General features: G+C 36.5%; 1 protein-coding gene and 1 long non-coding RNA gene across 3 annotated transcripts in view; one reads left to right on the top strand and one right to left on the bottom strand.

Moving 5' to 3' along the window:
* Positions 1 to 9,168, top strand: part of VPS13C (vacuolar protein sorting 13 homolog C) — a 208,059-nt gene extending 198,891 nt beyond the window's left edge. For both annotated transcript variants that reach the window (NM_017684.5, NM_020821.3), the window contains 3 exons: positions 5,148 to 5,271; positions 6,603 to 6,686; positions 6,999 to 9,168. In NM_017684.5, coding sequence (NP_060154.3) covers positions 5,148 to 5,271; positions 6,603 to 6,686; positions 6,999 to 7,100 — 310 coding nt within the window. In that variant the 3' untranslated portion in view covers positions 7,101 to 9,168. The remainder of the gene's footprint in view (positions 1 to 5,147; positions 5,272 to 6,602; positions 6,687 to 6,998) is intronic.
* LOC124903501 (uncharacterized) overlaps positions 1 to 16,990 on the bottom strand; it is a 44,799-nt gene that overhangs the window by 17,937 nt on the left and 9,872 nt on the right. Inside the window, exon 2 of the long non-coding RNA XR_007064668.1 lies at positions 12,085 to 12,160. This is a non-coding gene — a long non-coding RNA (uncharacterized LOC124903501). The remainder of the gene's footprint in view (positions 1 to 12,084; positions 12,161 to 16,990) is intronic.

Below are 16,990 nucleotides of genomic sequence, written 5' to 3'. Positions count from 1 at the left end.
AAATAATTTTTATTGCTAAAGTTATGGCTATTCATTGTAGATAACATAGAACAGGAGTCAACAAACTTTCTTTAAAGGGACAGATAGTAAAATTTAGACTTTAAGGGCCATACTGTGTTTCTCAACCTTTTGTTTTTGCCCTTATAGTAAGAAAACAGCTATGAACAGTATGTACAAGAATGACATAGCTGTGTTCCAGTAAAATTTTATATATTAAAACAGGTCTTGGGCTGGATTTGGCTTGAAGGGCACAGTTTGGCCACCCCAGTATTGAAAATAAGGAGATGAAAATAGGCTGGGTGTGGTGGCTTAAGCCTGTAATCCCAGCACTTTTGAGAGGCCGAGGCGGGCGGATCACTTGAGGTTGGGAGTTCGAGACCAGCCTGGCCAACATGGTGAAACCTCATCTCTACGAAAAATGCAAAAAATTAGCTGGACTTTGTGGCGCATGCCTGTAATCCCAGCTATTCGGGAGGCTGAAGCCAGAGAATCACTTAAACCTGGGAGGCGAAGGTTGCAGTGAGCTGAGATTGTGCCACTGCACTCCAGCTTGGGCAACAGAGCAAGACTGTCTCTCAAAAAAAAAAAAAAAAAAAAAAAAAAGAAAGAAAATAACTAACCATACATGCGTTCTAGTTTGCCTAGGACATAGTAGATTTGCTTGCACGTTTTGTCCCTATGTAATTATCAATAGCTATTCCTTTCATTCTTAAAAACATCCTGGTTTGAATAACAGATTATATGATCACCCCTAAAAATATCCTTTACCAGCAATGTCAGCACCCAAAGATAACCCCATTAGCTGGCACATTTTACGAAAACTATGTACAAAAAAATGCATTATTACATTTTAGTCTTGTCAATTTTTCATGTAACAATATACTGTCATCATCTTCCCAAAGCATTAAATATTCTTTGACAACATGATTTTTAATGACTACATAATTTTGTATTTGCAGATATGCTATAATTTATTAAAATACTCCCTCACTATTGGACATTTTTTCCCTAGTATCTTATTGTTATTTATTTGTAACCAAATCTTTTTCTATTATTTTATTAGAATAAAATTTTAAAAGGGGGATTGCTAATTTAAAAGTTGTGAAGATTTTTGAGGTCCTTTCTGTATATCGCCAAGTCATTTTTCAGAAAGGTTGTATCAGTTTTTTTACATACCACTCAACAATATATGAAAGTGTTCTTTCTCCTGTGTTTTGCTGAGACTAGGTTTTATCACTTAAACTTTTATTTTTTGCTAGCTTGATGGGTAGAAAATAATTTTTTGTTTTAATTAGCATTTCTTTGATTACTGTTGAGCCTGTACCTTTTAATATATCATCATCTATTTATATTTGCTACTTTGTGAATTACTTGTTCATATTCTTTGCTCATTTTTCATTGGTATGTTAGTCTTTTTCTTACTGAATTTAAAGAGCATTTTGCAAATTAATGATATTAGCCCTTTTTGTCAAATGTATTATTGACATGTTAGTGATTGCTAATTGAGTTTCTCAGTATATAGCATTTTTTTGTTTTGAAATTCACCCAAAACTTAGTCCCTGAATTTTTTTTTCTTATGAGTTTTTAAAATCAAAACACAAGTTCTCAAGACCTAAGTTTCTTAGGCTATAGCTTTACTAGTTGGTCCTAACTCTGCTATAGTTTATTTTAGTAATCTTTATTGAGAAATTCATTATTGAGCAGACTTTAAAAAAAAAAACCATCAACATATGACAAATACAGGGACACAGAGATGAAGTTACATCTCTGTTCCTTCCCTATTTTAATGGGCAGGGGGCTACAAATTATCAATGATATCACCGTGTGATAGGTGCTAAGAAGAGCGATGGACAGAGTCTCTGAGGACATAGGGAAAACTCTTGGTACAGTAAGATGGGGACCACAGTGTCATGGGAAAAGTGTCAGGGAGGCTTTTATAGATGAGGGAGTGCTTGAGCTGAGTCTTGAGTATGTAGCTCTTGCATAGGTAAACTAGAGGCAAGTGGAGGCATACAATAGTATGGCACTTTGACCAGTAAGATCAGTGTGGAATGGCTGGATGGTAGGGTGTTAGTGTTGGGAGATCAGTCATAGGTAGCAGCTCATAAGATTCTAAGGGTTTAGGTTTTATCATTAATGTGATGGAGAATCACTGGTTTTTGCTTAAGGTATAGTCTGCTATTTTATTTTTTTGAAACAGGTTCTCATTTTCATTGCCCAGTCTGGAGTGCAGTGGCTCGATCGTGATTCACTGCATTCTCGACTTCTCTGGGCTCAGGTGATTGTCCCACCTTGGCCTCTTGCATACTTGGTACCACAGGCATTCACCAGCTAATTTTTTGTATTTTTAGAAGAGACAGAGTCTCACTATGTTGCCCAGGCTGGTCTTCAACTCTGGGCTCAAGCAGTCCTCCCACCTTGGCCTCCCAAAGTGCTGGGATTACAGGCATGAGCCATCATAACTGGCTGGCAGTTATTTTTTTATTTGATATCACTTGTAGCTTCTCACACAGAATAGTACACACGTGAGTAATCTCTCTTTTTTTCTACCCCACAGAAGGTTTGTAAACAAGTAATATGATGAGGCTTGTAGTTTTAAAAGATCCTTGGCGGTTTGGATGTTATACTGGAAGAGAATCAGTCCAGAGGCAAGGAGACCAGTTAGAGACTGTATACATTTTGTATTGCTGCACAACAAATTACCACAGAATCCACTTCCAAGCTCATTTGCTGTTGTTGGCAGAATTCTAAGATCCCTGTTTCTTTGACCTCTGTCAGCCAGCGAGCTGCTCTTAGCTCCTAGAAGCTACCCTTATTCCAACCCAACAAGGGTGCTTTGAATCTCTGACTTCTTGGTCTCTTACGCAGATTTATAGTCCATGAACTTAGGTCAGGCCCACCTACATAAACTATTTTTGCTCAGAGTCACCTGTGCCTTATAATAACCTAATCTTGGAAGTAAAATCCATTATATTCAAAGTCCAGGGCACTATACAGAGATATATACCAGGGTTGGGGAATCTTGGAGACTTGTCTTAGAATTCTGTCTACCATAGAGACTGTGGCAGCTATCATGGTAGGAAGTGGGGAGGGCCTAAAGAATGAGGATTTGACTTATGAGACAAGGCTTGGTGACTGAGTGGATGTAGAGGAGAAAGGAATACATGATAGGGAGGGAGGGAGATAGATAGACAGATAGATAGATAGATAGATAGATAGATAGATAGATAGATAGATAGTTGGAGTTTGGATAAAAATCTCGAGTTGAGATCTGAGAGACCATTCTGAGGGAGTGTGTGAGTAGAAGACCAAGATTTGAACCCTGGTAAACATGGTGCAAGAGGAAGAAAATGAAGGAGACATTCTAGGTGGAAGGAGAACGGTAGTATTATTGGGATGGTAAAGAGAAGAGTTTAAAGATATTTGGAATAGTGAATTGTGTTTGGCACGAGGATTTGTGACAGCCATCCTTAGCTCTGTCAGCTGATTATCGACTGGGGCCGGGAGTGTGGGCAGTGGAGACTGTTTGGAAATGTATGGTGGTGTTGGAGATTGCCACAGTGATTGTAGGACACTACTGCCACTTACTAGGCTGGGGCTAGGGATGTTGAACTTTGTCCAGTGCACAAGACCATCCCATACAAGTCCAAAATTTAATAGCACCTCTGCTGAGAAATATAATGCCAGGGATCTATTTCAGTTCTCCACACTCCATTGGTCACCATGTTCATTCATGTCTGCCTTCTAAACATCTCAATCTAGCCCTTTCTTCCCCCTTCTCAGAGCCACTGCCATACTTGAGGCTTCCATTGTCTCCTGATTGGACTATTTATATTGCCGTAACTTCCTACCTTGATTGTCTATTGCCACTCTCTTTGCCACCTCCCTTCTGTTTACCACCAGAACCGTGAATCTAAAATATTTCCTCTTCATTAAAAGTGAAAGAACATTATCACGTCATTTCCTGTTTCATTAAAAGTGAAACATTTTTTAAAAGGAAAAATAATAGCCCTTCAAGGTCTGGCGCTAAGCTCATTTTCTCGCAGCTTCACCATGGTATCTATCTTGTATTCCAGCTGCAGACCTCCACATTCCTCAGATAAGTCTTTCCTTTTTTGTACTCCTTTATATGTCAGTGTGTTCCTCCTTTTGTCTGGGCTGTCATTTCCCTTACCCACATAGAGAACTCCTTCCTTTCAAGAATCAACTCCTGTGTCACCTACTTTGCCAGTACGATCTGTTCCTCTCTCTCTCTCGCTCCAAAAGACTAATCTGCACACTCTGTTACAGCACTTGTCTAATTGTGCTGTAGCGTTTATTTACATGTTTGTTTCTCCTCTAGCCAGTGAGCACCTCTCAAGCAGAATTATCTTCCTTGTTTCTCTGGCACCCTAAATATTTGTTGAATTAATAGTCCTTCTCTTCTTTTGTAATTTTGCTTTCTGTAATAGAAGCTTAATTTTAAGTATAGTTATATCAGTAATCAAAATGAATCACACACTGAGAAATCAATGTGGATGCCCTTTAAGGGTTCTGTTATTTTTTTTATTGCCATTGAGTAAAATAAGATACTCTGTGATAAAGTATATTAGCATTAAAGTGTTCAAATCTGATCTTTATTAGTAGGCCTCAAGTGAATCCTTGCTGACATTTAAGGTTTATGACATTTCCTTCACGTTCGTTCTTGACTGGAAGGCATAAATGGCTGACAGTAAAGAGCAATTAATAATTTTCCAAGTAAAACATTTTCAGGGACATCTGCCTTTATTGCTCCCCAGATGAGAGTACAGCCTGTTTCTTATGTGTTCCAAAGATGATTTCCCTATCAGCTTTTTGGTCAGTTAACCAAAAAAAAAAAAAAAAAAAAAAGAAAAGAAAAAAGAAAAAAAAGTTACACTTTTCTGAATTCTGCAAGATTGACAGAAGGGGAATTTTTGAGTCTACTTTGTTGCTTGGTAGGTGTCATATTTGCTCTTTATTTGACAGTTATCTAGACTTAAAAAAAATGAAGCAGGTTTTTTTTTTAGTGCCAGTTTATATTGTTTACTAAGCAAGTGCTACCTCTGCCATCCAGTAGGGTGAAATATTGGCAAGAATAAACTGTCTTCATCATTTACTGTAAGTTTTTGTTTTCTTTTGCAAAATAGGCGAGTGTTGTGTATAAAGGAAGTTGAAATCCTGGGCCTTATGTGTGTAGACTGGCAATGTCCATTTGAAGATTTTGTATTTCCTCCTAGTGTCAGTGAAAATGTGCTAAAAATTTCAGTTAAGGTAAGAAAACATGTCACACCTTTAGAGCTAAGAGTTCATTGCTTTTAGACTGTTTTGCAGTTAACTACACAAAATATTTGAAGGATTAGTGTCGTTATTACTACTATATGCTGAGATGTGAAGAAAGATGTAATCAATTTATTTGAATAACTGTACTTATTTTCTGGCAGTCTTGATTGCATAGAGTGAAATATCAGTCTACCCACCCAAATAATTAAGATTCTCATATGCTGATATTTTCTTTTTGGTAGAATTAAGCATTAGTAAATAGGAGAGGTTTTTTTTTTAACTTCATATGGACACCCATGTTGCTGTAATCTTAGACATTTCTGGAAAGATTCCCTCTTTTTAGGTTTTTAGAAGATTATTAAGTGATTTGATAAAATGTCTTTTCTCCCATCATTTTGTAAGGAAGCACTTTTATTTTAATTACATAGTAATTTGTAAAAGTGATACTCTGTCTTTTGCTTAGTTCTTAGACTCAAGTACTTAACTTTCTTTGAAATATGTTTGTTACATTATATATTATAAATTTATTTTCATGCCTTTAAAAAACTATAAATTATTATTCTAAATATGGCAATTTCTTTAGTGCATTTGTTTTCCCTAAACAATAATGTTATTTCTATTAGTGAAACTATCTGCAAAACTAAACGTTTTTTACTGGGAAATTTAGTAGCTAGAAGAACATTTACTGTGAAATTTAATAGCTATAGATGTGAGTACTGTTACCCTTTAATTTATGTTTACTTATCTTTTCATGGAAATTTACAAATAAAGGAAACACCGTGTTACCCTACCATTTTGTATTTCAGCATTACTACATTGTAGAGTGTCAAAATTTAAGGAATGTTTTGATGTATGAAATATAGTTTTCAAACTAGGAAAGACTATGTCACTGTGCATATATTTTATAGTTTCCTCAGTTATCACTTCTCTTTCACATCAATGGTGAGAATTGACTCAGTGTATTTTACATTATACAGAAATTTTATGTATCAGCCAAAGAAATGAAGGAAGGGTTTTTTGATTTGTCAGATGTGATGAGTTACCAAGTGGTGTTTCTGTAGGCTATTTATCATAGCCTGCAGAAAGCCATTATTTTATACAGATAGATGTATGCTCATCCAATTTTATAAGTTCTAACAACTCACATATGGAAATACCGTCCTTGTTCCAAGATGATTTATTTCATATCTTACTTGAATATGTGTATTTGGTTAGCCTACTTGTTATAAGATAGAGTTGACATTTAAGTATACAATTAAAAGTTAGGAATTTTTTTCTTCCTCAGAATAATTTCTTTTCTGTCATTGTTTCTTTTGAAACAGGAACAGGGTCTGTTCCACAAAAAAGACAGTGCCAATCAAGGCTGTGTTCGAAAAGTTTACCTGAAGGACACCGCCACAGCAGAGGTAAACAATTTAAAGAGCATGCCTCAATTTTTTTTAGCTGAAATACTTTTTTAAAAGCCTCTTATAATGAATACCATTATTTCTCCCAAAGCTCTCCCAAATATAACTATGGATGGATATATAAACTTAATATGCTGTGGACTCAGTCGGGTGCAAGGGTCTTATTTTTATATGACACATCTGGACTGTATCCTTGGTCCTTAGCTGTTGGTCCTGTTTGGAGAGCTTCAGCCCTTGCTTTCATACCTTTCCCTTCAACCAAATGAGCCTATACTTGTCTTTAAAATTCATAATAAGTATTTTACTTTACAGAGAGCATGTAATGCCATTGAGGATGCACAGTCAACGAGACAGCAGCAAAAATTGATGAAGCAGTCATCAGTGAGACTTCTCAGACCCCAATTGCCATCTTAATCACAGACCTCAGGGGCTCCAACAGGGAGAAAAAACAATCACTGGTCTTGTCTATAAGTCACTCTGCTTTATCTTGCTAAAGACAATTTTTCAAGCAATCCTTTAGTTTTAGTTTTCTGGAATAGCTAGTATTGGGTTTTCTAGTTTTTTCACCTTTTAGTTTTTACTCTAATTTTGTAACCATGTATATGCTAGCAGTCCACTTCTACGCCACCACCCAAATGGGTCAGACCCTTGAAGAAACGTCACTTCAAACTCAGAATGAAATTTTCATTAATATTAAAATTGTGAAGCAAAGGTCAATAGGCTTATATTTAATTAAAGCCTTACTGAAGAATAAGAAATGAGCTTAGAATGACTAGTGTTCTTTGAAAGGTTTTTTTATTTTTGTTTTTTTGGGGTTTTTTTTTTTTTTGAGACCGAGTCTTGCTCTGTCGCCCAGGCTGGAATGCAGTGGTGCGATCTTGGCTCACTGCAATCTCTGCCTCTCGGGTTCAAGCTGTTCTACTGCCTCAGCCTCCTGAGTAGCTGGGATTACAGGTGTGTGCCACCACGCCTGGGTAATTTTTTTTTTTTTTGTATTTTTAGTAGAGATGAGTTTCACCATGTTGGTCAGTCTAGTCTCGAACTCCTGACCTTGTGATCCGCATGCCTCAGCCTCCCAAAGTGCTGGGATTACAGGCATGAGCCACCACGGCCCGCCAAAAGGCTTTAACCCATGAACAAATGTTGGATCCTGACATTTTGTTTAAGAGTGATTTGTTCAATAATTGAACTGAGTTAACATTCTTGGTAAACCAGGTAATTGAATGAAGAAAGGTCACTAAAGGGAGAAATGACATGTTTTCTATTTTCTTTTCATGAAAACACTGTTTTTCCCCCTAATAAAGCATATTTTACTTTGGTGCTTATTTTTCCTCCTTGCAGTCTAATAAAAAAATCTGGACAATCAAACCTTAAAATAGCTACACTCTGCCCTCTGTAATGTAGCATTCATAAAAATTTGGAAGTATTTACATCCTCTTTCAAGATGAGCTTATATGACACAATTATTATTTGCTGATACATGAAAATACTGCACTTTAAGTTTCTCAAGACTCTGAAATATGTAAAATTCAATATTTTTATATTCCCAGAAATTGTTTCTTACAGGTTGAAAGTCTTTTAAGGGCATCACAAATTAACATTTACTCCTAATGCACGCCTAGAATGTATTTTAAATACTTACTAAGAAGAATGAAAATTCTTTGGTTGTTTTATATATAAATAAGGCATATATAATGACACTGTGTTCTGTGAGGGAGCAGGCCCTGTGAGAATCAATTCAGGACAGTATTTTTTTTTGTCCTTTCTCCATCCTTGATCAGAGATAAACTATTAAAACTTTAAAAAATACTCAAAAATATGTAAGTTTTTTGGTTGAACCTTTAGATTTGCTCATAATGTTTAACATAACAACATTTATTTCAAATCACTGAATTCATGGAGATGTGGACACGCTTGGTTTGCTCTATTTTTGTTTATGTGTGATAGTGGTTCTGTCATCATCATTCATGTTTTTTAAGGCCTGGTCATAAAACTTTAAATTTTACTAGTGTTACTTAATGTATATTCTAAAAAGAGAATGCAGTAACTAATGCCCTAAATGTTTGATCTCTGTTTGTCATTACTTTTTCAAAATTATTTTTTTCTGTAAAGTATAATATATAAAACTTCTTGCTTAAATTGAATTTCTATATTAGTGGTTAATTGCAGTTTATTAAAGGGATCATTATCAGTAATTTCATAGCAACTGTTCTAGTGTTTTGTGTTTTTAAAACAGAATTAGGAATTTGAGATATCTGATTATATTTTTCATATGAATCACAGCTGTTGACAATGTCCCATATATTTAAGAAATTATATCATACTGATACTATTTGTAACATTTTGATTTGATTTAATCTCCAGGGACAGAAATAATTCATTGGTAAAGTGTAATAATGCGTTTTTTAAAAATGCTTTGAGAGGTAATTACTTGCATATGAGAGAAATAAAACATTTGGCACATTGTTTACAGGTGTGAAAACTTTGTGGGTTTGTGTTATTCAAGTAACATTTGCTTTACTTTTTGTCTTTCCCTTTTCCTCTTCCAATCCCAAAATAGTGAGAAGTTATATTGATAGTTATGGAGGACTTTACAAGATACTAGTCAGAAAAGCTTTTTCTCAGGGGTACTGAGCCCCTTTATCACACTAGAGATCTGTGGCAGAGACCTCCAATACTGGGGGATTACAGAGAATGCGGTTGACCTAGGGGCCCAGCTGCACTTTGAAATCCATTGCTGTATTTGCATTGAGCCCATGCCTTCCGTGGTTTCTCTCAGCGACTGGCTGAGTATGAAGTTATACTAAGACATACTTAGTCTGGAAATTCTAGGAGACACAGAACTCCTCTGACAGCCGACTTTGGCTTGAAGACTCTTCAGTGGCCTTGCAGAACCTTTCTTAGACTGCATGGCAGTCTGGGATGTTCTACCATACCGCTGTCTTTCTCTTCTCCTCCCTCTTCCACATGGGGCTCAGACTACCAGTTTGGAAGGCTCACCCAGTGCTGGATTATCTGGTAGGAAGAATAAGTTCATGCTGAGGGCTGTAGCAAAGCAGGGGCATTAAAAAAGGAAAAAAAAAAAAAAGGAAGAAGACTGTACCCAAGCTTCGTAAGAAAAATGCCATCCAGGGTGGACTTACTTCCATGTGTTTTATGATTTAGTATTGTTTTTATTTTGAATTATGCATGAAGGAGGACACTATCATCTTTTTGGTGCTTTGAGTTTCTAAGTATGTTGATCTGGTGCTGCCTGGATATCTGTTTTTAACGAAGTTCTGTGTGTGTTTCTAATGTACAGCCAGGACTAAAAATTAATGCTCTGGACTTAAAATGATCAAATTCTTAAAGGGCTCTACAGATCTCAATGTTAGTTAATATTAAGTTGCAATTATTGCCAGAGCTGGAAGAATCATCTTTTTATTGGGGAGAAAAACCAAAGATTCTTAGAGGATAGAAGATTGCTCATAACAGGGTCATTTGTCCTCTGGGGACAAGCCCTTGTGGTTGAGAATCACTGCCAGAATGACCATGAGTACTGATGAAAGTGGGTTCTGTGCCATGTGTGTCAGCTCTAAGAAGAAATCGAGACTCACTGGAGCGGAGGGAGCACATTTCTCTTGGTAACTGTGCCGCTAGTGGGAAAATTGAGGCTTATTCTTGAATTCATGCTGGAAAGTATCTTCAGTTATAAGTGTGTATCATTCAAACAGTCAACTGTGGGTCTCTTTGAGGTGAAAAAGTCTTCAGAAAGAGTTTTCTGTTTTGTTTTTACAAACCGCAGACACATAGTTCCTTATTCAAAATTCAAAAATTCAGAAGGCTCTGAAAACCAAAAGATTTTGCAAAACTTTGAAACAAAGACATTTGGCAGCAAAATCTGAACTGAATTGACATGAGGCTATTCATGGTCTTTTATTCTATTTGGTGTAGATAATTTGGCTGTAGCAAAAGTACTTTATTTGGTTGTGGGGTGCTGCTGCAGATTTCCCTGGAGGCATACAAGCTCTATGTGGTATATGAACCATATTGTCTTTCTTTTTTCTTTTCTTTTTTTTTTTTTTAGAGACGATGTCTCACTCTGTCATCCAGGCTGGAGTGGTGCGATCTCAGCTCGCTGCAACTTTTGCCTCCCAGGTTCAAGCGATTCTTCTGCCTCAGCCTCCCGAGTAGCTGGGACTATAGGCGTGCACCACCACGCCTGGCTAATTTTTATATTTTTAGTAGAGACAGGGTTTCACCGCATCGGCCAGGCTGGTCTTGAACTCCTGACCTGGTGATCTGCCCACCTTGGCCTCCCAAAATGCTGGGACTACAGGCATGAGCCACTGCACCCAGCCCATATTGCCTTTCTTAAATGTGAAGTCCTCTATTCTGAAACATCTAGCCTCAGGGTTTTAGGTAAGAGATTGTAGAGCTGTATACCTACAAAATTCTCAATGTATTAAATTTGCTTCTCAAATTTTAGAAAAATCATAGACTATAGGAGAAACTCTAAGAAACAACAGAATTTTCTTCCCTCTCAGACCATACTAATGTTTCATTTTACAGTTAGTGCTGGCAAATTTTTTTTGATAAAGAGTTCAGAGAAATTGGTGTCAACATATATGTTGCCACATGATGTGTATCAGAAGGATGACACTTGAGAACAAATATGGAAACATAAGCACATCAAAATTATTTTTATCCCTTTTGTACATTACATATCTGCTGGATGAAAAGATTTTAAAAATTGACTTCTAGTGGGGAAAAAATTAGAATAGTAATGAAATATATATACCAACATGGTCCTCTATCCACTAAGATTATAACAACACTACAAAGAAGATTTAATTCTTTAGCATTATTTTAAACTTGAAGAAAGATCAAGCAACTTCCCCAGAGATTGACTACAATGCCTAAAGTGGTTTAAATGCCTTGATAAATGATTTTCACCAAGAGTAGATTTCAGTTCTTGGTATTTGGGTTTTGTTTGTTTTTGTAGAAAACATTTATCTTATGGTACCAGTTTTTCTCTTCACCCACTTTTCTCTTTTGCCATCATTTTAAGTCTTCCTTCTCTATGCATCATTTTAACTTTTCTTCTTATGGCACCTCTTTAAATATTAAGTTATCTTTGTTAAGTAGATATTATACTATTGCTTGGCAAACTACAACCTACAGGCCAAATCATCTGTTCTTACAAAGTTTTATTGGAACAACCACACCCATTTATTTGCATTGGTTATGGCTGGTTTTGCACTACAGTGGCAGAGTTGGGTAATTGTGACAAAGACAATACGGCCAGCAAAGCCTGAACAATTTACTATCAGACCCTTTACAGAAAAGTTCATTGATCCCTATATTGTGTCATATAATTGATCTTACAGATGGGACAAACAGATATCAGATGACTTACCCAAGGTCCTGTGGTGAGATAGGAACTGAAATTAGGATCCAACATCACCAACATCCCTCTCTATCTCTACTTCTTCCTAAAAACAAGGACATTGGTGTTGAATGAATGCAGCCAGTGTTGGCCTCTTGGATTTCTTTTAGAACCTTATACCCTTAACCCCAAATTTTATGTTCTCTCCCTATCTATGTTTTACACCTAACTGTGATATGGCATTTCCCATAGTAACACCCAAACCTAAGCCAGCCCTTAGTTAAAACATTTTTTTCCTGGAGAATTCTTACATATGGTCTAATATTACTATGACAGTTGACTAGCATATGTAGCTTTTGAGGTATACAAATGAGGAAATAAAAACTTTGGATATGGGACATAAAACTTGCCTCTATTTCCACAGCACAATCAAAACTAAAAATCAAATGCATGGGGTTCTACCATAAACCCTTATAGAGTTCTACTGATATCAGGAGTAGAAAAACCATGCCCAAGATACATACTTTATTATAACTGGCTAGGGACTTGCCAAAGTAGAAATGATATTTTTGAGCATGGCACATGACATTATAGAGTAGTAATGTAACAAATGAGCAGGTGTTCAAAGATTGCAATTTGAATGGAAACTATAAAATTTTAGCTTCACCAGAGGATGCTGCTGCAAATTAGTTAAGCAAGCACTTATTGATGGTTTAAATTAAGCAGCCACTCTGGAACAGGGCACATTTCCTTTCCCTGTGGAGTACTGTTAGAGAGGCTTAACCTACTTTGACACTTCTGATCAAATCTTCCCACTTCATTCAATTCACAGTGATTCATGCTCTCAAAAATAGTAAAAACGAAAAAAAAAAATAGGGCATGAACTAGAAGATTAACAGCGTTCTTAACTTTTTCAATAAAGATTTCTTGGACTATGCAGTCAGTTGAATAATCTATCACTGTTACTGAAGTAGGTAGTAGATTTTTTTTTTTCTTTACGCCAAGATAAGGGAATCATACTCCTGAAGAATTCTGGAATAGTTGTAAGGTCTATGGGACATTTGAATATATCTGGAATTATTGGCAGCAGGAAACAAGTGCTTTCTTGTGAAAAAGATTCCCATGGTTAAAACTGAGAGACCTGGAAAGCACTCCTTTCGAGTTGGCCTCAAATGAACAGAACAGAAATCTTGCATGACTATTATTACAATCCAGATGGTAAATGGACACCATTGAAAACACTGTTTAGTAAAGGCCATAAAGACTGAGTACCCATGACTTAGACTGGTGAATAAGAATATATTTCCCACACGACCTAAAATTAATGCTCAGTTGCCACCGAATTATAGTGCAGCTCTTTCAGAAGCACTAATGATACTTATTTTGTGTGGAATGGATTAATTTTAATCATTTTTTTTGGCAAAAATAATTCACTTGGGGGCCTTTGTTTTAGTTGTACTTACTCATAGAATAGTTAATGGTTGGGAGATCCTTATATTCAGCATAGATCTATTCTTGTGGCTTCCATCCATTGAGCCCAAATCCTTAGGGCTATCGGAATAAGAATGACTCTTTGTGTATATAGAAGCCTAGCTATGGGAGCACTACCTAGCAGAATTGAAGGCTGGCCTCATGTCCTACCATTTATCCAGCAAGCAAGTAAGTTTCATTTTCAAGTTCTCATCTTATTCTACCTAAACCATCCCTAATGAGACAAAACTTCAAGTCATCCCATAATCCTGGTGGCACTCCTTAAACAAACAAGTTCATCCATGTTCCTTTTAGGATATGGTGCACTGATCTGCAGGAATGTTCCAGGAATCAACTAAGGCAGATTAATGCTTTGACAATTCCATATTTTCTACTGCTTTTCTAACAGTAGTAAGTGTCCCAACCTATTAAAGCAATTACTTATGTAAAGTAACATTTCCCCATTATTGTAATTTATTAATCTTGTAACTTTTACTTATTTAAGAATATGGTTGAGTTATTCTTTTCACCACTTTTGCTAACAGTAAGGGTAAATTTGTATGGTACTGTAGATTTAAAAATCCCTTTACTTCTCTTGGCCTCAGTTTCTTCATTTGAAAGTAAGACCTTTGGACCAGATCTGCCTTTTTCACAAAAGGAGTTGAAGACTGGCCTCATGTCCTAAGGATCCCTTTAGATTTTACAAATATTGATAAAATGACCAGATGTAGAATTGTTATTTTGAAAAGGTGAGATGTATTGCTTGCAGAAGTTTTTTCCTCTTTCTCATAATATTCCTAAAGATGTTAAATGTGTATTCTTAATCATTAGTGAGTTTCTTTTTTAAAACCACAGAACATTTAACAGCACCACCACCAACAAAATCAAAAGAGAAAGTGTGGGAGATTGTTACTAGTCCTTGCATGGAGAAAAGTCTAGATGTGGAGACTGTAGGTAACTGAGTCCCAAAAGAGAGCCCCTGAAAGAACTGTGGGCAGGAATGGCTGAGTCGGGAGCTAGGTCATTGCTGTGAAAATGGGATCCTGCTCTTCCTTCTCAGATGCACACCCTCAGCAGCACCTTTTAGTTGTCTAAGGACCAGTGCTGTGTGAGGTGGTCATGGATCACACCATGCGCAACCTGGGCTCTCCATAAGCCATCACCCACTCAGAAGACTTCTCTGCTGGTCAGCCCTGTCATCTGAAATGTGTTGGAATCATTGCTTTGGATAATGGAATGCAAATGTTAACTCTTCAGATTAATTTGCATGGAGTAAATTACAAAATCAGAGAAAGGTCATTTTAACTAACATACTAAAGAGCTTTACAGTTTATAAATCCATACTTAATCTTTTTAAGTCTTAATAGCAGCCCTATATGGCAGGTAGTGATTTTCCATTTTGTAGATGAAGAAACATGTTTGTAGAAGTGATTTACCCAAGTTCATATAGGTAGGAAGTGCAGTCTCAGGAACTGGTTGAAATCACGTTCCTTTTCTATCGCACTATGCCACCACTTTGTAAGCACACCAACCTGCAGAAATGGACCACTTTCAAGCTCAAGGGAGCAAGATAGATAAAATTATAACTCATATGGATGCAGCTCTAAATGATTTTGATTCTAGTTATGCATGCATGCAGATGCATTCTTTATTCTTTTGAACCCCTTCTTGTGTGAGGAAATGAGAAGACATTCTGTAGTTCCTTTTGGCTTGGACTTCTCAGAGTTATCATCCTTCTTTCATAGGAATGTTTCATATTCCCTGGGCTTTTATATCACCTGGTCTTTTCTCGTATTAAGGCTAGGACATATATTTTCACAGAGTAAATGCAGGTTCCTCATGTACCACTAAACCAGTGATCTGGCTAAAGCATTGAATCCCAGTTGGGATGAACTTATGCTCACCTTTGTCTTTTAGACTGTTACCAATCAAAGGTAGGTTTACACCATGGTACATCCATTAGCATATTTCAGATGCAGGTAACCGAAAACTTTCATTTAATTAGCTTAACAAATAAAGGGATTTATTATCTAACATATTGAAAAGTGACATAACAAGACATAGATGGCTTCCTGTTTTATTAATTCATCAGCACAACACTACTATCCAAGAAGGCAGCATCTTTCCATCTTTCTGGTTTTGCCATCCTCGGCTTGGTGCCTACTTCATGGTCTCTGAATGGTCATGACAGTTTCAGACAACACATTTTGAAAACAATGAACTTGCAGAAGAAAAGCTTAACTCTGCCACTTTTTTTTCCCTTGAAGAGCAAGGAAACATTTCCCAGAAGTCTCCAGTGGACCTCCCTTCAAATTTCATTGTTCAGAATTGGAAACACATCTTCTAAATCTCTCACTAGTAAGGCAAATGGTATTGCTAGGAATGACAGAGAAATTAAGATTTACCCCTGAATCACATGAGACAGGAGTGGAAATCCAAACAAAAATCAGGTATCTTCCAGTAATAAAATTAGGCAGAATAGCTACTAGGTGAACAACAAACACGGCCTGCCACAATTAGCTTCAACAATTTTCAGAAATTCACATTCATGTACTCACATATACTAGGGAACATTGGACTGTTTCCTCCGATTTACTATCAGCTTGGTCATAATCAGTAATAGAGATCTGGGATTTGTAGTCAAGATGACATTATCCTTTGGATTCTTCACTGTAGTTCAAACTTAAAGTAATAGTAGATGAACATAAAGTATAAAAATAAAAAAGACTCATTAGTGCCCCCAAACAGGAAAACCATTTGTATGGAACAGAAATAAGGAGAAAAACGATTAATGACAGTATGGAAGACTAAATATCTAAAAGCACTCCTCCTACAAAGCACCTAGAAATACTAGATAAAACATAACATTCTCTGAAATAAATAGCTGAGCTCAAAGAATATGAGAAAATTCCCTCTAGGGCAAAGTGCAAAGGGAAGTTAAAACTAGATCAATAAACATATGAGGGGATATTACTGCAGCCCAGAATGATGAAGGTTTGCCAATTTTATTAAACAATTTTAATAATCTCAAGGCTTGGGATTTAATATCCAGGAGATTAGGTCTTGGACCCTTGTAAGTTGAAAAGTAGGAACTTAGAGACCCACATAAAATCTATACCCTCCTTTAAGATAAAATGATAGGCAAGAAAAAAATATTCCCATTGGCATAGGGAAATTACAAAGAAAGTTGTTTTGGCCTGGGTTCTGAATGAAAATAAAGTTCTCCCCTGAGAATGTGTAATCACTGCCTCTAACACATGGGTTTGCAAATTGAATCCATTCCTATGTGGTCCTGGAGCATCCAAGCAAATGAATTAACATTAAAAGAATCTGGAGACAGTGATATGCCTGGGAATCTGATAAAAGCAAAATCAAACATCTTATGAAGGATAAACCCTCAACCCAGGTTATACATGCCTCCCACTGTTTACCCACATGGAAGATGAGGAAACAAATCATCTTGAGC

Source organism: Homo sapiens, chromosome 15 (assembly GCF_000001405.40).
Source record: "Homo sapiens chromosome 15, GRCh38.p14 Primary Assembly".
Classification (NCBI taxonomy): domain Eukaryota; kingdom Metazoa; phylum Chordata; class Mammalia; order Primates; family Hominidae; genus Homo; species Homo sapiens.
The sequence above is the reverse complement of the archived record's forward strand: the minus strand, read 5'-3'. Positions and strand labels throughout refer to the sequence as shown.